The sequence below is a fragment of the Homo sapiens genome, chromosome 14 (assembly GCF_000001405.40).
Source record: "Homo sapiens chromosome 14, GRCh38.p14 Primary Assembly".
In the NCBI taxonomy this organism is placed as follows: domain Eukaryota; kingdom Metazoa; phylum Chordata; class Mammalia; order Primates; family Hominidae; genus Homo; species Homo sapiens.
The window spans coordinates 78,954,168-78,972,425 of record NC_000014.9 but is presented as its reverse complement, the minus strand read 5'-3'; the positions used below and the strand labels follow the sequence as shown (position 1 = coordinate 78,972,425).

Below are 18,258 nucleotides of genomic sequence, written 5' to 3'. Positions count from 1 at the left end.
ACCCAGGAATTTGGCACTGGAATTAGACATTTGGATCACGGTGATTTGGGAACACCAAAAAGCTCAATTTGTTTAATTTTAAAAATATATCCAAACCCAAATAGTTGCAGGCAAAAGGGCACCAGACTAATGTCATTTTTATTTATTCGTGCCAGTTTCAAAACAAAGCACGTGTATTTCTTTCAGATGTTTATCATCTGCAATTGTGAAACCACATTTCTAGCTGATCATGCCTTGGCCTCTGCAGCAAAGCTGGCCTCAATATAGGAAGATACATTTACCAGCCACATATTAAATCAGGTATGATTTTTTTTAAAACCCTAGCTTAAATTGAGAGGTATCAAGTTACAACTAAATGTTGACTAGGAGTTGCCCAGAAATTGCACTTAATATCTAAATTATACACTTTGCATCTATCAGAGACATAAAATCAAATACTAGTTTCAAGATTTTTTTCTTTTTTGCTACTCATACTTGAGAGCTGAAGAGTACTAAATTAGCAAGTTTTTAAATAATTTTGCTACCACTTTGGGAGGCCGAGGTGGGTGGATCACCTGAGATCAAGAGGTCGAGACCAGCCTGGCCAACATGGTAAAACCCCATCTCTACTAAAAACACAAAAATTAGCCAGGTATGGTGGTGGGCACCTGTAATCCCAGCTACTTGGGAGGCTGAGGCAGCAGATTCGCTTGAAGCTGGGAGGTGGAGGTTGCAGTGAGCCGAGATCACGCCACTGCACTCCAGCCTGGGCAACAAGAGCGAAACTCCGTCTCACTCACTCACTCACTCAATCAATAAAATAAATAAAAATAATTTTGGACTCTTTTGCCTTTTATTTTACCTGCTGTCATGGGTCTGATATAATAGGGAAGGTAACACATTTACTACCTAGGGATCTTAAAGTGTCATTGTCAATGACTTTGATGGAAACATATATTAAATGTAGATAGATACAGATACTTATCTATCTGTGTGTGTGTGTGTATATATATATATATATGTTTATCTGTGTATTCTAGATTTGCTAGAATAAAACATATCTTGAAGAGATTCTGGTCTTAGTTCTTAGTTATAAAACCTCATCCCCTACTTGTTTACTGTTCTATGTAAAAGAAATGATAAATTAAGAAATTTGTTCTGTTTCCTGTGGTCCTCATACTACCTAATGCTCAAAGGCCTTCTTGGGGGTCTCATGCTCTACACAAGAGATTCAGAATAAAAATGATGCCTTTTTGCAGTGTCTCCAGTGTTTTGTGCTCTCCCTTTACCTCCCCACCATCTTACACAGAACCCTAAAATGCTCCTGGGATCTCTTGCAAGGGCTTATTCACAGTGGTACAAACTTCCAATGACAGTAATTTATGCCTTAACCCATTTTGGGCCATTTTTCCTGGCCACTTAGGCTAATTATCCAAGTCATTTGTGTACAATCAACAAGGACTTTCTTCCCTCAGCACTCACCCTCCACTTCATCCCACCCAGCGGGGTAGGCATAATGCTCAGTGGGTAACCGTTGTAATTATCTCCATGGCAATAGAGTGCAGTGCTATTAGGCTCATGGGACTCACCATAGATTCAGATGGTGGAGCCATCAAGCCACAATATCCGGCTTTGAACAATCAACCATACTCAGAGGAAGGTCGGAGCTCTCTGTAATGCATGTGATGAGTAATGCCAAACTGCACATAGAGCTGTAGATAGGGATAGGGACATTTTCCCCAACTCGTTATGTAATTTCTTTTTGCTGATGCTCTTACTGCTTCTCTTAAAACTCTCTTAAGTGAGGTCATTCTCCCTTTATATTATACATTTTAGTACCCTTTTATAAAGCTTAGACCTCCTTTTAATCCAATACTATAGCTTTATTTATTTACACCTTAATTTTTGTATTCTGTATACCTGTACTACCAATACAGTAGCCATTGACATGTGTATTGAGCACTTTAAATGCATGTAGCCCCTGGGTTGAGGTGTGCTGCAAGTATAAAATACAAACTCAAGTTTAGAGGCTTAATGTGAAAAAAAGTGCAAAATATTGATAATTTTATCTCTATTACATTCTGAAATAATATTTTGGGTATATTTAGTTAAATTGAATAAAATACAAAATTAAAATAAATTTGACCTGTTACTTTATACCTTTTTAAAATGTAGCTACTAGGAAATTTATAATTGCATGTGTTACATATATCTATTGGAAAACACTGACATAGAGTTAATGGATGATTCCTGTTAACTTTTAAATCTGAAGAACTGATGGCATAATAAAAATTCTGTAACATTTGACCAGTATCTTACGCTTTCTAATATGTGCTCTTATATTGTGATTTGACTTCATATGATTAATTATTCCAGGATAAATGGAATTACTGCCATTCTACAATCTTCTAAACACTATATACAATTTAATTCCAAATGCTACGTCTATTCCAGGATTGCCCTTTAATACACAAAAGAACTAAAAGCAAGCCAAGGAGACAAAAATCCCTGATTGAATGAAATTGTTCATTTCTAGGAGCAAAGTGGCTGCTTTAAGGGCTTAGTGATTCCCAACCTCCTGTCCCTTTATACACACACACACACACACACACACACACACACACACACACACTACATAGTACAAACACCATATTTGGCCAAGACAATTTAAGAAATATTTCTGGATAAAGGAAAAATGGAGTGGGTTATAGGAATGAACATTCCTATTACTAGTGCAAAATACAAAAATAACTCTTAGGCAAAGGGAAACAATTTCCATAACTCCAAGTCAGCCTGATAAGCTGACAGGAAGCTTTTATAAATGTGTGCTTTACGATGATGAGCTAACCCAGATGGAAGCTGTTTAAGAACAGAAGCGATACATGAAGTTGAACACAGAAGTGGAATGAACAGATTTGATGTGGTAAATTAACAACTGATACAAGGAAACACAATATATTGCGCAAACACAGGACCATAAGGCTCAACCAAAAGGCTCAAAAAGAAAAAAAGGAAATAATTACATAGATCCTTGGTCAGGCAACTTCTTTGCCTTTCAAGTTAGGTAACAGTCACGTTTTCAGCCAACCCAAGACTACTAGGGAAGGCTGAATGTGTTCACTTCTGCCATCTGCTGGTTAAAACTAGATTGTTTACACTGCAAAGAATTGTTGGATTCAGGAAGACCTGTAAAATTCATTTAGTATCTCAAGAGACAGTGGATCATCTACAGGAACAGGCTGAGCATGGTTTGTTGTGCTGCATGGGTAGACATGCAGTATTATTAGATGTTTGACATAAAATAATATTTGTAAACAATAAGCCTACCATTTATCGAGTACCTACTACATACCAGGCATTTTATGTGTATTTCTGATCTCCTTACATTCAAGGTAAGTTTTATTGCCCTGTTTTATAGGTAAGAAAGATATAGCTTACAGAAGTTACATCACCTTCCAAATGTCACATAGCTAACAAGAGCTACTACCTGGAGCTGAATCCAGGTATTTCTAATATCAAAGCCCATAATGTTCCAATATACCACACTAAAGAACTGCCTAGCAATGCCTGATAATTAGTAAGTACTTAGTAAATGTTAGTTCCCTTCCATCATCATGGCATTTGGACATCGTTTTCCTATTGCCTGCTAGATTTGCATTAAATAATGCAGTCACTATCAGCCAAAATAAGAAACATTTTATTAATTAGTGACATCTACATAAAATCTCTGGTTTTCCCCTCATCATGTATTAAAGTATAAATAAAAGTCTCCAGTGCTGTTTCAGCCATTCTGGAAGCCAAGGTACACATTGAAAGAAGCCTGATGTCAATGCCAGGGAAGTTTTTTATTTTATTTTATTTTTATTGGCAAGTATGTGATACTCAGAAAACATCTGCCAACATACATTCCTGGAGCCTGTGGCACATGTCTTGACATACTAAACCAGTGACAAGAGAACACTGATGGTGATGCAATGTCACGTGGCAAATGAGAATGAGACAGGACTGGTCAACTGAGGAAGGAGGCAGTGGCAGAGGCAGCAAAGAGGCTTGGTGCTTGCAACAAGGCTGTAGCTTAACAAGAAAAAAATAGGTTGTACCTTCACAGCCACGCTCGATCTGTCCGCTCCGATGAAGAGCATCATTGATGAGGTCTGGCAGGCGTCCATTCAAGTCCACTGATGCTAGACAGCCCTGAAAGCCATCTCGAGAGGCCACGAGCTTTGGGAGGTTGCTGTACATGCCTTGGGCCAGACCAGCCATATAGAGATCACCTGGAAAGGAAAGTAATTAGCAAAAGAGAATGAGTAAAGGATGTGGTGACCATGTCAACTAGTTTGATACACTTGAGATAATTCATCAGATAAGGAATAAGATAGCTGGGGGGGGGGGGGGGGGACAGCATAAATGAGATAAGCACCTGAGTTTCTACCCTGCAAAAAAAGGAAACCAATATTTATTATGTGTCATTCATTTTATATATACCATCTCAAAAATTTATTCATCATAGATGGAGTAAAGATTAACAATATTGTCAACAAAGCAAGCATTTATTGAGTGCTTTTTATGTGCTTGTTACCAATAATATGCTGAGGGATATACAGACATGCCATCAAAACTTCTCACGACCTATACAGAAACTAACAATTATTATCCTCATTTTGCAAAGAAAAGTAAATGTAAGCTGAACAAGGCTAAGACAGTTTACTGATGACACCAGACATTAAATGATTCAGCTGAAATTCCAAAGCCTATATTCCTTCCTCTGTATTACGGCCCTTCCCACACTTTGACACTCATCCTGTCATCTCTCAGCCCCCACAGCATGACATTCCCGAGGTTATCAGAGAAAATGAACCATTTCTTGATGAGTAGTCTAAGTAAAAACGGAAAAAATTGCATTACAGGATAATTCAACATTGTTAAAACAGGATATGGATGATGTATCAAAAATGCATGGCACTCTGAACCTGTGGTTTGCCTCTGGAAATAGTCTATCTATTGTAAGAAAAGCTCTATTAAAAACTAAATTTCTTTACAAGGTTTACCTTTCAAATCCAGATTTTTGGCACCATTGATAACCTGAGTGACCACTTTGGTGTCCACTTTCAGGCTATGAGTGTTACTATTGTCCCGAGTGATGACGACATTGTGCCACTGGTTGTCATTCAGGGGGCGGTCACTGTTGCCTTTGATCACATTGGGACCGTTTCCGAGGTCAAAAACGTAGTGTATATACCTAGGAAGAAAAAAAAAAAAAAACAATAATTGGAAAATCCCCGAAGTGGTTTAATGGCTATATGTGTGTAACTGACATAGTGGGCTTCAAATCCCCCATGCTAAACTGGCATAATGCAGGAATAATTTAAATCTTGATATGAGGTTACAAGAATAGTCAGATTTTATTCTATCATGCTTCACTATAATTCCATACTCATCGAGTCCACTTCATTAACACTACCTACTAATACTCTCCAGAGTCAAAGTAGCACAGGTTGTACACTACAAAACATAAGGGGGTGACTTTTAAATTCATCATCAACCATTAATCTGTTTTGGTTTTTGTTTTGGTTTTTTGTTTTGACTATTTTCTAATACATGGTAGTAAAATGTCTTGAGGAAAGGGCAGCTTCTAAAAACTTGCATATATGGGCTAATGGTAGGATTTAAAATATTTATGTTTCATCTTTTGGTATAAATTGGGTGGTTGTAGTTAGTAATACTCAAGAATTAGATGCAATACAAATCATAGCCCTCTTTTGCAAAAATAAGCTTTTCTTCAATAGTTTTAAAGGGCTACATTTCATAGGAAAAAGTCTGTTAGTGTTGAGTTAGTGGAAGACCTTTAAATTAAATCATGAGCCTCTCTCCTTTCCAGACCTAATAATTTTATGGATCCATTTAATCAAGGAAGATGCGAGAATGTGTCAGGAATGGAGGGTAGGGAGTAGAATAGACAAGTTATTTTTATGTCCATATTTTACGTAGAGCTTCAGTAGATTAAAGGTGTCCAACATAAGTCGTGATCCCTTCTACTTACCCCTTGACAAGCTCGACTGCAATGAAGTCATTGCCATCACCACTATTGAAGAGAATGAAGCCATCTGGTGAGGTGGTCTTGAACTGGAAGAAGAGGTGCATGGAGGTGTAAGCCTGAAGAGTGGCAAGGCTCAGGTAGCTGCTCTTGGTCTTAAAGGTGACAGGGTCAGCGATGATGTTCCTCAGTCCAAAACGAGCCTTCAGCTCACAATAATCAATGTCACCATTTTTGCACAAGTCAATGTAGAGAAGGCCATTAAACATGAGGCTCTGCAGATGGCCAATAAAGCTGGAGGGGACAACGGAGATGTAGCGTTTCTCAGTCATGATTCCCGTTTCAATGTTGTGGAACTCCAAACGGGTATGGTCTCCCACCATTGTACCTGTGAAAATTGTAAATGAGGTACAAACAGAAAAGTTACCATCATTTATCACAGCACCCTCAAGTATATTTTTTGGGTGTAACCTGTTTCCACACAGAATATTCAGCTTTCTTGGGTGAGTTCAAGAAAACCAAATATTCAATATGGTAGATACCTTACTTGGCCTCAATCAGGCATTGCCCAAATTACATGCTGTCACGCAGCTGCTCAGCACGGCTCATCATATAAGGGGAAATATGAGGTCATGAGTAACCCAGGCTAAAGGATAAAACTATTGATATTCTCCATTCAGGAGAATCACTGGACACTAATACACACTATAAGAAGAAAGGCCTTTGTTGCTCTGACCCTTGTAAAGACACAACACACAAGTCTTGGGCATCACTACCAAGTATTTTTTCTCGTAATAACTCTCCACTTAGTACTCGTGGGAAGGATTCTATTATAGACTTATCAGTTGAGTTTACCTGCCCAGCAACTGTTACTTTATCTTATAATAACACGTAATTTTTCTTTAGGAAGCTACCCACCCCTCTTGACCTTTCAACCACCTGGACTGGATAAAGTTGACCCTAATCAAGCTACTCAGCCTAGACCACTCAATGTACTTTACCCCCCTAACTGTCACAGACTTTGGACTACAGACTTAAAAAGCGGTCATTACACTTTAGGGTGTATCAGAATCACCTGGGGGGCTTAGGCCCTCAGAGTTTAGAATTCAAAAGTCTGGGGTGAGGCCTGAGAATCTGCATTTCTAACAAGTTTCACAGTGATGCTCTTGTGGCTGATTTAGGGACCACCCTTAGAACTGGCAACAACCCAAGCCATCCCGGCCACACTCAGTTCCAGAGCTCTTGCTGGTACACTTAGGAAAGAGGATTCTTTGCAAGCAAGGACTGCTGGAGGGGTAAGAAGAAAGCTTTGAGTCCCTAGAGGCTATAAGAAAATCAGAGGGATCAGAGGACTAGCAACCCAGAAGACAATTACCAAATGAAGAGAATCATCTGTGCTGTCCTTTGAGACTCTGGATCAAGCCAGGCACCTCCCGGCTTTTTCAAACTGTGTGGCAATAGACTCCCTTTCATGCTTAAAGCGTTTGAGTTGGGTTTCTGACATTCACAACGGAAATATCTTCAGCTGTTACAAATGAACTATTTAGAACTTGTATTACCTATTTTACCTAGAAGTGGTGAGTGACTAGGGCAGAGGGGATAAGGAGGGCTTGAAAAAAAAATACAAAGAGACTGGAAATTTTAATAACAAAATAAAGAAAAACATCATTAATGTGGCCAGAGTAGAAATTGGCTTCCTCAACATTTATATAGAAAAATCATGTTAAAACATAACAAACCATGTTCTACTGCCAAGCATTAGAGGGGGAATTCTTTCTTCCTGTCCTCTCTTGTTACCTTCTACATTGAAAAAACTCCATTAGCAAGACTGATAGCATCTCTTTATTTCCTCTTTAACAACTTTCCTGAAGAAGTGACATAATCAGAAATATTAAGGATGATCTGCAAAGAGAAGCTGTGTATGCTTAGCTCAGCCCCTAACACCTCCTGTTTCTCTTTGCTGGAGCAAGCTGCCTTCAGAAATGTCCATTCTACTGCATGCATCCATAGAATGGGTGTTACAGGAGCAAGCCTTGCTTCCACAAAGGATGTCTGCCCAGTTCTGAACTACTATTCAAGTGGGCAGTTCTGTCTAATTCTGAAGTTCAGTGGGTGTAAGCAATATTATTGTGTGTTATTACTAATTAAAATGATATTTGCCTTCCATCCTCATTGCAATATTTTCTCTATTGGCTCAGAATTACAGTGACAAAAAAAGGGAGGATTGTATTTTCTTAGGTCTCTTAAACTTCAGTATCTGGGAGACTAAACCAGATCATACCCTTAAGTGCTCAATATTGGTTTTATCTCTTTGGGAAAAAACTCAGACCTAATTTAAAGAATTGGCTGGAGACAGTGGCTCATGCCTGTAATCCCAGCACTTTGGGAGGCCGAGACAGAAAGATTACTTGAGGCTAGGAGTTCAAGACCAGCCTGGGCAATATAGCAAGACCCAGTCTCTACAAATTAAAAAAAAAATATTAGCCAGGCATAGAGGTATGTACCTATAGTGCTAACTATTCAGGAGGCTAAGGTAGGAGGATCACTGGAGCCCAGGAGTTTGAGGCTGCACTCCAGCCTAGGTAACACAGCGAGATGCTGTCTCTAAAAAAATAAAAATAAAATTTCTTATATTCCCTATAAGCACAAAAATTAGATTTACATGTTATGAGCTTCTATGCAGTGTTTTGACAACTAGTGACAAATCACTCTCTTAGTATAAGAAAAAAAGATGTTGGTTAACTTAAATATAAAAATCAAAATGCAACATAAATCTGCTAACAAATAACTAGGAAATAAAATTGCTTAGTGTTAAAAATCAGACAGGCTGTGAAAATACAAAGCAACATAATCTAAATTTGCATGCTCTAAATTAATAAAGTGACTGAAAGAAACATCTACTGTCAAATTGGCTATAGCTACTCCTACCAGGAAGGGGAGCTGGGCTGGAAAATGATGGGGAGGGGGAGTCATAGTCAATATCCACAGAAACAGAGAAACTGAACTATGATGATGCTGCTAGTCATGCTAATTCTTATTTTACAAAGAAAAAATCTAAGATGAGAACTAAGAAGTCAGAATGGGGAATCTCTGGTGAAGATTGAGGTTCCAAAAGGAATCTGAAGAAACAATTTTAAAGTCAAGTTGAGAACTTTCAGAGAAATTCTGGATGAATTGATCTCCAGGATTGAGGGGTTGGGATATTCTGCTCACTAGAAAATTAATTTTTCATAGCAAAAAAAAAAGTGTTTATTGAGATAGCAGAGAGACTGAGCGTGGATGTGGATAAGTACAAGAAGTGAAGTTAATAGTGGATTTAGGAGCTTAGCCCAGGAACACAAACTGGGAGTTCAGGATGACTCACACAGGAGCCTCAACTAAAAGTTGGTGAGGGGAGGGGGAGAAGGCCATGTGAGATCAAATTAGAAAAGGAATTGGCTTGGGAGGTCGAGGTGGGTGGATCACGAGGTCAGGAGATCGAGACCATCCTGGCTAACATGGTGAAAACCCGTCTTTACTAAAAATACAAAAATTAGCCTGGCGTGGTGGCACACGCCTGTAGTCCCAGCTACTTGGGAGGCTGAGGCAGAAGAACTGCTTGAACCCAGGAGGCAGAGGCTGCAGTGAGTCGACATCATGCCACCGCACTCCAGCCTGGGTGACAAAGCAAGAGTCCGTCTCAAAAAAAAAGAAAGAAAGAAAAAGGAAAGAAAAAGAATTGGCTTCACTGTGTGCTAAACGAATTTACTCCTTTGTTGATGAAGACTTCAAAAAATAAGTATATTATTGCACCTGTGCAAAGCATGAGAGATGCTGAAAGTTTGAAACCTGTGCCAAACCAACCAAATATTTTTTTTTTAATCTATGTGTCATTTAATCAATAGTAGTGATGGAAACCTTTCACTCATCTCCTCTGAATGCTGTCTGCAAACTGAACCTCCTTTCTACTTAAGGGGCAAATATATTCATACCTCACAGCCGCTTCTTTCAAACTTCAGGGGAAAGAGAAGTAACTGGGGAGAAAGATAACAAGCCAAAACCAAGACTACTGAAAATTCCATATAAGGCAAGCACTGTGCTAAATACTGCATAATCACTATGAAATGTCATTATCACAATAAAATTGTAGAGAAGTATCTTTCTCTTGCTTTAGAGGTTAGGACATTTAGCTTGCAGAGGTTAAGCAGTTTGATCAAGATTCATGCAGGTGGTAAATGGTAGACCCCTACATTGAACTCAGGTGTGCTAATTCCAAAGCCCATATCTTTACTAGTACAATGAACTGTCTTTGGAAAAAAGGTTTTACTTATTCCTCACATCATTGCCCAAGAAAAGCAGTAGGTAGAATTTAACTGGTGAAATTTCCATGTAGAAGCTGTTCTAAGGAGTTTGTACTTCTTCCCTATGGCCCAGTATCAGAATGTCACTCCATCTAATTCATGGGTAATATATCCAGCACCCTCCCTAAAGCAGCATTGTTGCCTTGCCTCCTTGTCACACATTCACTTCCATATTGCACTGATGGCCAACAAGCAGTCTACAAACCAGCTCTTAGAGTGACGAAGGACATATAGTTATGGAAAATTCTGGCCAGGTTCAAGCTGTAGCTTCCTATTCCTATGAAGCAATAGCATATAGTGGATGAGCATGGAGAGTCCAGGGCTGTACTGCCTGACTTTGCATTCTGCTTCCAAGACTTCTTCACTGGGTTACCTTGGGGGAGTTACTGAATTTTTCTATGCCTCAGATCCCCATCTGTAAAACGGATATGAAGTTAGCAGGGTTAAACGTATCAACACACGTAAAGTTTTTAATAGAGTGCCTATGGCTTAAACCGTGCGCTATTACTAATTATGCTGCATTCATTTCTCTCCCTTCCTCCGAAATGATTGAATCATGTTGTGGTCATTTCACTTACTGTTTTTCTCTTTTTTTGTGTGAGAATGTGGGCTCTTTTTAAGTAGAGGCCACCTCTTGTGTCTTCTATATGTCCCCCAGTGGCTACCAGAGGGGTCTGAGCACAGCCAGCATTCCTAACTTCTGGGGGGAGGGGCTTGTATTTGAGACATTTGCTTTGGGGTCAAGGTTTGGGTCCTCACCATTTCCACACATGAGGTTCCTGGTCAAAACTAAGAGCTCAGCAAAAAAGAATAATAATGGGAAACGCTGAGAGGAAGCAAATTGACCTTTCATGGCCCTTAGACGTGGGGAGAGAAGTTAAGAAAACGAAGGCTTACAGAGTACCAGTCAAGAATCTTCATATTTTGCCCATAATTCCCTAGCTCTACTGGTCCCAAATCCTTTTCTCCATAATGTCAGCATTTTTTAAAAGTGTGTAAGTATGTGGTATAAAATACTTCAGTAAAAAAAGTTTCTGGAACCAAAAAAAAAAAAAAAAAATTAGCAAATACTGCATACTTATCAATGATTTGCAATGTACATTAGCTTATTAAAGTCTCCTAATAAGCCTGGCAATAAAGAACTCCATTTCATTTTGTTTGACCGCACACTCCTCAATCCTATTTTGTCAAGTTTTTAAAAATTACTATGAGAAATACATTTTAAATGGAAAATTTTGCAAAATGACTTTTTACAGCTTGGTGCTATACATGCTATGTAGGTAAGGACAGGAAAAGTCAACAAGAACCAGTGTAGTCAAATTTTTCTACTAGCAAGGGCAAGTTTTTGTACTAGCAAGAAGTTCTAGGCAGAGGAGGCAGTTCATGCAGCATTAGGCCCCAATTCTGAGGAGTATAACTCAAGTTATGCTTGGTATAGTAATGTATTCTTAATAATAGAAACATAGATCAATCAATTATTATTAACTGTCACCCGAACTTAATGCTTTTCCAAGAACACAATCACATTACAATAAATGATAAACACAAGGTTGAGGAATATTTCTATCCTTGCTTTTGATTTCTTGTGAGCCAGACCTATTCTTTACATCATTTCTATAAACTAGCTGAAATTGGACACACTAGGGGGGCCTTAAAGAACATTAAAGGGATTACTAAATAAGCCAATGAGATACTACTTAATAACTTGAGGACTGTGGGTATTTTAGTTTCATTGCCTGATTTTATGACTTCTGTGAACTAAAATTAAAATTTCCCAACCCCTTATCACTATAAAAAGCAACCCAAGATTGTAACTCATAAGCAAAACAGCACTTTTCCCCTCTCAAATTTCTTTATCCTTCTGGCTGCTTTCTTCCATCAGCAGTGAAGTTCGGGGGGTTGGGGGGACACGTCTGAAAATGAAAGCGTTTCATTAATTTCAAAAAATCAAATTACTGGATAATGGCATTTCGTGACTTGGCCCTGCTTTTTAATTATTAGTGGTAAAAGAAAGTGCAATTTACAAATAGCTTTATTCCAAAGTTTTCATAAAAGAATAATGACTGAGAGAGACACATTATAGTACCCTCAGCTCTGTAGTTCTTTATGACTATACTTTTGGAGCATTTATTTTCCAGGGAAAATGAAACGAACTCACTGTCAGGAGAGATCAGGGTGAGGTCGCCATCTAGTGGCTGCTTTTCAGAAGCGGCTGTGAATCCCATCACCCTTCAGAGACAAGCCCAGAGGAGTGAGCAACAGATGTGTGACTTATCCTTTGCAGGATCCAGATGCACCAACAGTTCATACAGTTCTTGAATAATTAATTCAGGTTGGCTGCGGGCGCTAAATAGTGTAACCATTTGTACATCTCTTTTAAAATGTTCATTTCAGAATGCAAATTTATGCTCCAGGCACGTAGACCAGGAACTTCACCTCCCGCTTCTGAGTTATGTCTATGTGTAATCGAAGTGTTTTGGGTAATTGTTGTGGTGGTTCTGTTTGTCTTTGTTTTTGTGAGGGAGAGGTCAAGTGTTGTGGCCTACCTCCTGTAAGTTTCTTAGGAGACTTTAATAAGCTAATGCATTCCCTACCTCACTCCAACCCATTCCATTATATTTTTCCCATATTGTAAGATAAATTATTTTCTTATGATGGATTTTGAAGTACAGCAAGCAGAATGATTTTGTGGAATCACACTGACATGGATTTGGAGCTTAATTATACAACGCTCTCAAAGTTTTATGCTTCCTTTAAATGGCATTAAGAACACTTACCTTTAAAGGCTATAGTGAATGATAGAAGATTAAAGGAGCTGATATGCTTAACACAGCTAACAGTTTCTAATGCCTACTGGGCACTGGATATGTGCCTAGACGCTCTTCCTTAATCCACAGGCTATCCTTCTCTACACACACACACCTGTACATGCACGTACATATCTTACTATATTTCCTGATTCCAGAAGTATAGAAACTCAGGCTCATGAATATAAAATTAAATTATAAGACCCCAAATTACAGAATATTCATGCTGGAAAGGCCATAGAAATAATAGAATATCAATTTTAAAAATGAGGAAATTAGGAAAAAGAGGTTTAGTATATCTATCTCAAAGGCATAAAATATTTTAGTGGCAATGATTATATTAGACCCCCAGGGCTACTGACTGTCTTATTCACAGAAGAAACCATGGAGATGGCTTAGGCCACTGACTGCATTTGACAAGGCCCAGGAATGTTAACTTTCCTAACGTCCTGCAAGTTAACGTCAGGGCCCAGATCTGATGGCAACAGTGTTTCATGTAATACCCCATGCTGCCCCAAATCTTCTTTCCCATATGGATAAGAATTCTGCTTCATAGATGTGTCCTGCTCTAGAATATCAGAGAGGGAAGACTTATAAGATATAGCATGTAAGGCCTGGCGCGATGGCTCACGCCTGTAATCCCAGCACTTTGGGAGGCCGAGGCGGGTGGATCAGGAGGTCAGGAGATGGAGACCATCCTGGCTAACACGGTGAAACGCCATCTCTACTAAAAATACAAAAAATTAGCCAGGCGTGGTGGCAGGCACCTGTAGTCCCAGCTACTCGGGAGGCTGAGGCAGGAGAATGGCGTGAACCCGGGAGGCAGAGCTTGCAGTGAGCCAAGATCGCGCCACTGCACTCCAGCCTGGGCGACAGAGCAAGACTGTCTTAAAAAAAAAAAAAAGAAAGAAAGAAAAAAAAGATATAGCATGTAAAATGGCACTTGATGATACCCTCTTTCTTGTACCTCAGCCTTCATAAATTACATCCACCATCAAATTCAGTCTGAAGATCTACGTTTATAAACCACTCCTGATTTCTCCAGCCCAAATGGGTAATTCTCTCTTCTGATTGACAAATTGTAATCTCACCCATCAAAATTAGAATCTCATTATATATTTTGGTCCTGTTTTCAAATACCAGAGTCCTATCTGATCTGCTTAATTGGTTCATTATTTGAGGAAACAGGTAATCTCATCTGTTTCCATTTTATCTTCTGCAATTCTAGCATACTGCTGACATAGAACAGACTCTTAGGAAATACTTATTGATTGTGTGGAGCTCTGAATGTTTCTTTCCACATTCTAAATGTAAATCCCACCAGGCCAAAGATTTGCTTGTTTGTTCACCACTGTATTATCAGTGCCTTGTAAAATGGTGTGTAGTGCAGAATAGATAATTAATAATGATTAAATAAGTAATTAATTAAACCAAACCTTATTCAGCACCTTCTAAGTATCATGCACTGTTTTAGTACTTACTTTTACCTGTAATGTTCTGAATTTCTGGTTTGCCCATCTCTTCTACTAGAGAGTGATTCACTCACTGATGGAAGGAACTGGCATATGGGAGGATGATTGACATGTGATTTTTGAATGATTGAATAATAAAAGGATCTGTAGAACCCTACATCTGTTCTCCAGACACATACTCTACGCCTAAGGAGAGAGACCCATAAATATGTAGTTATAGTTAGTAGGTAATTTCCATAACGCACATTGATGAAAAGGTATTGTAAAATACAGAGGAAGACCTTCTTAGCCTTGCCTGAGTTTGTCAACAGAAAACATGATTTGTGACTTCTACTATGCAAAATAAAAGGTTTTGCAAAACACTGTTTGCTCACTCAGTGACTGAGAGGACTGAGAGAAAAGACAGACGAATTTCACCATAGTCATACTCACCCTCAGCCACATCATCATCCACGGTTAACTTAAGGCTTTTTCCTCTCCGCACCACCCGAACGGTGTGCCACTCGTTGTCATTGAGCTTCTGCCCTGCATACAAGGTCTCTGGTCCTTTGCCTAAGGATGGTAGTAAGTGCCAAAGTTAGAATCAATTCTGAAAGTAGTGCTCATGCATCAGGGTTGTCAAAACCACACTGGTGCACATGACCCAGCAGCATTCAAGGAATTATATTCCACCCAAAGTCCATTCGAATTTTACTGATCCAGTGGATTCTCTGTAGGAGTCCCCAAATGCAAAAGTCTCAATTCAAACATAAAGGATAATGGTACAGTAATGAAAAAAATAGTGCCTTCTTTTATCTTAGATATAAGGTTTTCAAATGCCAATGGCAGTAAGCAATCATTTACAGGAAGCTGTAGTTAGCAGTCATTAATCTCTCAAAGTTTTAGAATCCAGACGAATTCCTTTAAGATATAGGAAATTTACCATAGTATTTTTTCTATAGAATAATTTGGCCATTTGGCATGATACACCAGTCTGGCTTTTAGAGAGTATCCACCAATAGGACGAGAAAAGAACTTTGCAACACATATGCCTTAACTTGACATTTCCATTAACACAGGGTCCTACTAGGATTCACGACCATAGAAATCACAATAGTAAGCATTACAATAGTAATACTGTCAAGTTTTAAACCCCATCATAAATAATGCTCCTGAAGGGAATGTGAGGGCCCCCAGAATTTTCCCATTGTTCATCATCCTCCAAAAGGATCCAAATACCTAAAAACTGAAATGATGTAAAGTTCCAAAACTGAAACTTTTCAGGACAAAAGCATGACTAATATAAAGTGCCACTAAATAGAGGAATAAACCAAGTTGTCTCAAGAGATCCATGCTCCAGATGCTCAAGCTAAGGTTCAAGTGAACCCTATAAAGAATCAGGGGTAACAGGAATTGTACTTAGGGGAAAAAGATGGCAAGAGAGACAAAGAGGCATTAAAATGATCCAGTTAATAAAGGAAGAAAATATCACATTCTTTTAGGATGTATATCGTTATTGATCTGAAATGCAAATTTAAAAGACAAAGAAGATTACATAGAAGCAGAAGACAGACCAAGTTTGCTCTTTGTAGGAGGATAGCTGAGCTCATGAAGAAAGACGCTGATTAAATATTTTTGGATTAGTCAATCTATATGTGGAAAGCCCCATTCCTGAAAATGACTAGGAAATAAAATGATATAACATATAAGTGGCTAATATATCCCTATGGATATATGTGAAATAGTTTGGAAAACCATATACTTGGCTCCAACATATACTGAGCACAGGGCCAAGTACATAGTAGGAGCTTTAATGAGTGCTTGAATAATCAATGTCTATATAAGTCTGTTTCTATGGTAACCATCAATTAGAGTCAATATATTTTATCTAAGTAATTTTGAAAGCTTTATTATGTAACTGTCACTAGCTACACTCCTCCCTCCTCTCCAAGACTGAAGACATTTTATACAGGGGAATATAAATCTCTAGGTAATTTCAAACTACACCTTTTAATTTTGAGTAATTAGTATTCCTATTTTCTGCTGGTTATAAGAGCTATGGTAGTAGTTCAAGTTTGGAGGAACTCTCCTCTTGAAAAATAAACAGAGTTTCAAAGTGAAAAATTTTCTTTTAATTACAATGTACACAGCAAATGACTTATATTTAATAATTTTCAGAATGCACCCAAAGCTCAAGGGCAACCCAAATTTACAAGAATCTTGAACATTTAGTAAGGAAACCTAAAGGACCAAATGCACTCAAAATTAGGTAGTGATGCCATGAGAGCAATGAATCTTAGGAATAAAGTAATTCTACAATAAACCATTTTAGATTACATCTCAGCTTATCTTGCTTTGTATGTTTGTCTCAATATTACATAAAATGTATGTATTACAACAGAATTTCCCTGTATTTTCAACTGATTAGATACTACTCTTCATTATCTTATTAAGTTCAGGTCTAAGATTGATGTAACAGTTGCCATCACAACAGCCAACAGTGAGGGCATTGAAAGAAAATGGACCACATCATGTGGATTCTTTATAACAAGAACAGATGTTCTCAGAAAAAACAAATCTGTCTTTGTTTTTTTATGTTTTTATCCTCTTTATTCTACATGCAAATGCTTCAATAAGAAAGAAAAAAGTGAAGAAAGACGTGGAGAATATTAGCTATGAAGGCAGAACTGCTACAAGTACGGGCTATTTAAAACATCTTCTATAAGGTGGCATCTGTTCTTTAGGCAATTTTTGTACATCGCTTAATTTTTATGATTGGGGACAAGATAAGCGGAAAATGACTAACACAAACATAGTAGTTTGGGAACATTGCTTCATTGGTATGACAGTACCTATAGAGATATAAAACGAGCTTTCTCTCAGTCCAGTGATGCTAACGTTTGGAGGTCCATCAGCTCTTATGGTATCCTTGAGATATTCACAGTGGTCAGATTCAAACACAAATATTTAACTGTCCATTTGACTGTAAAACTTTGGAATGTGATGGCCAATGAATAAAAATGTAAAAAAAAAAAAAAAAAAAAAAACCAGGCCAGGTGCAGTGGCTCACGCCTGTAATCCCAGAACTTTGGGAGGCCGAGGCGGGCAGATCACGAGGTCAGGAGATCGAGACTATCCTGGCTAACACAGTGAAACCCCGTCTCTACTAAAAATACAAAAAAACTAGCCGGGCATGGTGGCAGGCGCCTGTAGTCCCAGCTACTCGGGAGACTGAGGCAGGAGAATGGAGTGAACCAGGGAGGCAGAGGTTGCAGTGAGCTGAGATTGCGCCACTGCCCTCCAGCCTGGATGACAGAGCGAGACTCCATCTCAAAAAACCCCCAAAAAACTGAAGCTTCTCATGCCCTACTATTTAGTTACATTTGATACCTCCAACAGTAACAATTCTTATTATTCTTAAAGTAGAAAAAAAAAGATTCACATCCATCTCATTAAAATGATATGGAATAGTATTTGATATTCATTTTCAAACAATAAATAAATAAGTCCCAGTGGGATTTTGTAAAACCCTTGGCCTCCAGAAGTGGAGAGTCAATGGCATTTATCCTTAATCAAGTCAAAAGGTCAACTCATTCTACAGAGGAAAAGTGATGTTTACACTCAGCGGGAAATCAAGGCAAAGAGAG

The 18,258-nt window shown here is 38.5% G+C and overlaps 1 protein-coding gene across 52 annotated transcripts in view; it reads right to left on the bottom strand.

Moving 5' to 3' along the window:
• Positions 1-18,258, bottom strand: part of NRXN3 (neurexin 3) — a 1,697,919-nt gene that overhangs the window by 895,866 nt on the left and 783,795 nt on the right. For all 52 annotated transcript variants that reach the window (NR_158973.1, NR_158975.1, NR_158974.1 and 49 more), the window contains 4 exons: positions 15,065-15,184; positions 6,020-6,401; positions 5,028-5,218; positions 4,080-4,253 (listed from right to left, as the gene is read on the bottom strand). Coding sequence is in view for 46 of the 52 variants with exons in the window: in XM_011537363.2 (XP_011535665.1) it covers positions 4,080-4,253; positions 5,028-5,218; positions 6,020-6,401; positions 15,065-15,184 (867 nt within the window). In the remaining 6 variants the exon portion in view is untranslated. The remainder of the gene's footprint in view (positions 1-4,079; positions 4,254-5,027; positions 5,219-6,019; positions 6,402-15,064; positions 15,185-18,258) is intronic.